We start from the raw sequence: 3641 nt of genomic DNA, 5'->3' as shown, positions 1-3641 counted from the left end.
GGATTCCAGGTGGGGACCACTGAGCCTGGCCTTTTTTTTTTTTTTCACTTTTGTTAGGCTTTTTTCATATGCCGCATGGCTAACAGGCCTACCGCATGTTCCTCACCAGCCCTCTGCATGTACTAGTTCATTTAATCCTTGTATGAACCCTGTGAGGTAGGAAGGATTATATGTTCATTTTGCATTTGAAGGAACCAGGGAACATAGTGGTTTAGTAACTCACCCTTCAGGGCCAGGCAGGTGTCAAAAATGTGTGAACACTAGGTGCTGAGCACACACCCTAACAAGCTGAGTCAAGCTGCCTTTTAAAGTAACCTGTGGCACAAACAAACACATCCACAGGCTATTTAGGGCCTGGGGGCTGCCAGGGTAAGGCTGTAGGAGACTACAGTCTCTAAAAGGTCCCACTCCCTCATCTTCCCTACAGCAATGCAGGAAAAGTGCTAAATCCAGATGTTGTAGGGAGGAGAGTTACTTTACCAGTCCTCAATTTTTTGCCAACAAGATAATCCACTCCAAAACAAAGTGCACATTTGATATGCATTTTTTTTTCTTTTTTTGAGACGGAGTCACACACTGTCGCCCAGGCTGAAGTGCAGTGGCGCAATCTCGGCTCATGGCAACCTCCATCTCCCGGGTTCAAGCAATTCTCCTGCCTCAGCCTCCTGAGTAGTTTGGATTGTAGGTGCCCACCATCACGCCCGGCTAATTTTTGTATTTTTAGTAGAGACAGGGTTTCGCCATGTTGGTCAGGCTGGTCTCAAACTCCTGACCTCAGGTGATTCGCCCACCTCAGCCTCCCAAAGTGCTGGGATTACAGGCAAGAGCCATGGCACCTGGCCTGGAAATGTCACCTTTAATCATATAATGAGCTGACCTCTATCCATGTGCCTTCTTCTGCACCCTCTTACCTGTTTAGTTGATTCTATTCCTATGATTCTGTCCCACTGAGTCTATTCCTATGTTGAGGCCAGACTGTTTTGATTATTGTAGCTTTCAGCCTTGTTTCAATTTCTGCCTCATCTCCCTCGTTCAAGTCTTCCAGTAAGGTTATAGAACCAATGTGTCCTGTTCTTCCCCACCTTCCAACACATAAACAAATCTTGCTCTAATTTTGTGTGGAATTACTCAGAATGGGTAGATTTAAAGACTGGATATCTTTCTACTAATGAGGCTGAGATAAGGTCTCTTTTCAGTCTAGAAAGGGCAAGCCCTGGGGCAGAAGTCTTATATTAAAGCAGTAGCTCAACCAAGGCGATTTAGTGCCCCCGACCCCCCAGGGGACATTCAGCTAGGTTCGGGGATATGTTTTGGTTGTCATGACTAGGGAGGGTGCCCCTGGCATCTAGTGGGTAGAGGCCAGCAATGCTGCTCCACATCCTACAAGCACAGTCCCCACAACAAAGCATTATCTGGTCCAAAATGTCAACAGTGCTGAGGTTGAGAAACCCTGGGTTATCAAATCAAAATCCAAACAGGTGGCCCAGAGGATGGCCACAAGGGCATAGAGTTCTCAAATGACTTACCTGTGCCTCTGGCCTAAGGCTTCTTCTGACTTCTTTCAATGAAGGCAGCACAGGACACAGTGTGGGAGTGCCCAGGCTTCCCACCCTGAGTGAGGCTGAGCAGCATGCCAGGGTCAGGTCCGAGTTGTTAGGATCAGTCTCCCTTTCCTCTTAGGTACCCTCTACAATGGTTAGAATCACAACGACCTCCATAAAATTAGCCTTTTCCATATATGGATATATATTTACTTTCTTTCGTTCTTTTTTTTTTTTTTTTTGAGACGGAGTCTCGCTCTGTCGCCCAGGCTGGAGTGCAGTGGTGCAATCTCAGCTCACTGCAACCTCCGCCTCCCAGGTTCAAGCAATTCTCCTGCCTCAGCCTCTGGAGTAGCTGGAACTACAGGCGCCCGCCACCACGCCCAGTTAATTTTTTGTATTTTTAGTAAAGACGGGATTTCACCGTGTTAGCCAGGATGGTCTCGATCTCCTGACCTCGTGATCCGCTTGCCGCAGCCTCTCAAAGTGTTGGGATTACAGGCGTGAGCCACCGCGCCCGGCCTTACTTTCTTTCTTTCTTTCTTTTTTTTTTTTTGAGATGGAGTTTTGCTCTTGTTGCCCAGGCTGGGTCTCAGCTAACTGCAACCTCCGCCTCCTGGGTTTCAGTGATTCTCCTGCCTCAGCCTCCTGAGTAGCTGGGATTACAGGCACCTGCCACCACGCCCAGCTAATTTTTGTATTTTTAGTAGAGACGGGGTATCACCATGTTGGCCAGGATGGTCTTGAACTCCTGACCTCAGGTGATCCACCTGCCTCGGCCTCCCACAGTGCTGGGATTACAGGCATGAGCCACCGTGCCCAGCTGCTTACTTTCTTTTTTAACATTTTAAATCAACCTTATAGAGATCTAGTTTACAAAGTATAAAATGCACAGATTGACTGGGTGCAGTGGCTCACTCCTGTAATCCTAACACTTTGGGAAGCTGAGGTGGGTGAATCACTTGAGGCCAGGATTTTAAGACCAGCCTGGCCAACATGGTGAAACTCTGTCTCTACTTAAAATAGAAAAATTAGCCAGCCATGGTGGTGGGCGCTTGTAATCCCAGCTACTCAGGAGGCCGAGGCAGGAGAATCACTTGAACCTGGGAGGCGGAGGTTGCAGTGAGTCAAGATCGCACCATTGCACTCCAGCCTGGGTGACAGAGCAAGACTCCATCTCAAACAATAAAATAAATAAAATAAAATAAAATAAAATAAAATGCACAGATTAAGTGTTGGGTTTATAGGTGTGAGCCACCATGCCTGGACCAGAATAATGTTTGACTAATGTCTGGGCACCACGTGTGCCTTCATCTTGACACCTAAGGTGAAACATCATAATGTCCAAGCGAAGACTTGGGGGATCCCTATGAAGATCTCTGGAGTCCTTGGTGGAACAGGTGAAACTTCTGAGCTTGGGCGCCTAATTCCACCAGGAAGACTTTAAGCCAGGCCACAGAGGAGGGCAGGAGGGCTGAGTGGCATCGATAATGAGGCTGAGACCCTGCCTGGGCACCGACTCTGTGCCAGGCACAGTGCATTATGATTTCTGGGCATTGATCTAGATAAGATCCTCCTCACATCCCTGAGATGGAAACATGGGTTTTGACTATTTCACCCACAGGGAAGTTGGAAGACTGTCCAAGGCCCCAGAGCCAAACCTCAAACCTTGGGTCCAGAGCTTGGTGCTAATCAGGATGCCCTCCTGCCTCCCACAGGAAAGGGAAGGCCTCTTGCATGTGAAAGGTGGGGTTCAGCTTAACCCGTAATGAGCATTAGTGAAAGATTTGTTCCTCTGGGGCTCGCTGGGCATGGAACAGGCACCGCCAGGAGGTCAGGGATGCGAATGGCCAGCCCCGCACAGCAGGAACCCCACCTGACCTGGGCCCTGTGCACGAGGTCATCTGAGCTTCACGATGCCCTGTGAAATGGGTCCTTTGCATATTTCTATTTACAGACGAAGAAACTGAGGCTCAGGGAGGTTAGGAGGGAACTTTCAAACTTTGTCAGTGTCAGAGCCAGCAAGGCCTCAAGTGCAACCAGGACCGAGGCAGCTGGCTCCATGTGAGGCTGCACTGACCTGGGGTCCCAGGGCTCCAG

This window comes from Homo sapiens, chromosome 20 (genome assembly GCF_000001405.40).
Source record: "Homo sapiens chromosome 20, GRCh38.p14 Primary Assembly".
Lineage (NCBI taxonomy): Eukaryota > Metazoa > Chordata > Mammalia > Primates > Hominidae > Homo > Homo sapiens.
Note: the sequence above shows the minus strand (reverse complement) of the source record.